This window comes from Homo sapiens, chromosome 15 (assembly GCF_000001405.40).
Source record: "Homo sapiens chromosome 15, GRCh38.p14 Primary Assembly".
In the NCBI taxonomy this organism is placed as follows: Eukaryota; Metazoa; Chordata; class Mammalia; order Primates; family Hominidae; genus Homo; species Homo sapiens.
The window spans coordinates 80,626,110-80,626,979 of record NC_000015.10 but is presented as its reverse complement, the minus strand read 5'-3'; positions in this window follow the sequence as shown (position 1 = coordinate 80,626,979).

Below are 870 nucleotides of genomic sequence, written 5' to 3'. Positions count from 1 at the left end.
GAAGGTAGGAAAGAAAAAGAAAGAAAGAAAGAGGGAGGGAGGGAAAGAGAGAAAAAGAAAAAGAAAGAAGAAAGAAAGAGAAAGAGGAAAGAGAAAGGAAGGAAGGAAGAAGGAAGGAAGGGAGGGAAAGAGAGAAAAAGAAAGAAAAGAAGAAAGAAAGAAGAAAGAAAGGAAAGAAAGTTGGAAGAAAAGAAAGAAAGAAAAAGGGAGAAGGCAAAATGGTGTGAAGTGTATTCTCTAGGGAGCTAACCAGATGTCACATCCCTGAAGGCAGGGGTCTTGTATTATTACCCCTCTCTGCCCACAGCACCCATACCCAGGGCCTGCACAGGGCAGGATTTCAGTATGTACTTGCCCATTGAGTGGATGATATATGCCATTGCATCTCGGAGTTGGGCAGAGCCTTCTCTCTAGGTTCCTGTTCTTTCCATATTCACAGCAATATCTAGAAGGGCAGGGGCTGGAGACAGATTTCTGTGCATCGTTGGACAACTACTTAAATCTCCTAATCCTCAGTTTCCCCATGTGTAAAACAGACATGTAGGACTGACTGAAGCTTAAGTGACCTGGTGCATCAAAAAGAACTTAGCACAGGGATTGGCAGGTAATCAATATTCTCTGTTGTAAGACAGTGAGTTGGGAAGCAAAATGAACGAGGCTGGCACCCCTACCCAATCCCCAGCACTTCGGAAGCCTTTTGAGAGCAGAGAAAGGAGGTGGAAGGAGGATGAAAAAGTATGCAAGACTGGGAATTAGCCAGGCATAGTGGTGTTAGGAAGTCAGCAGGAATGGTGTCCCAAGCATCTAGGGATCTGGTTTGGAGGCGCAGAGGCCCCAGCCTTGCAGGGCCCCCTGTGATGGGCACTGCAC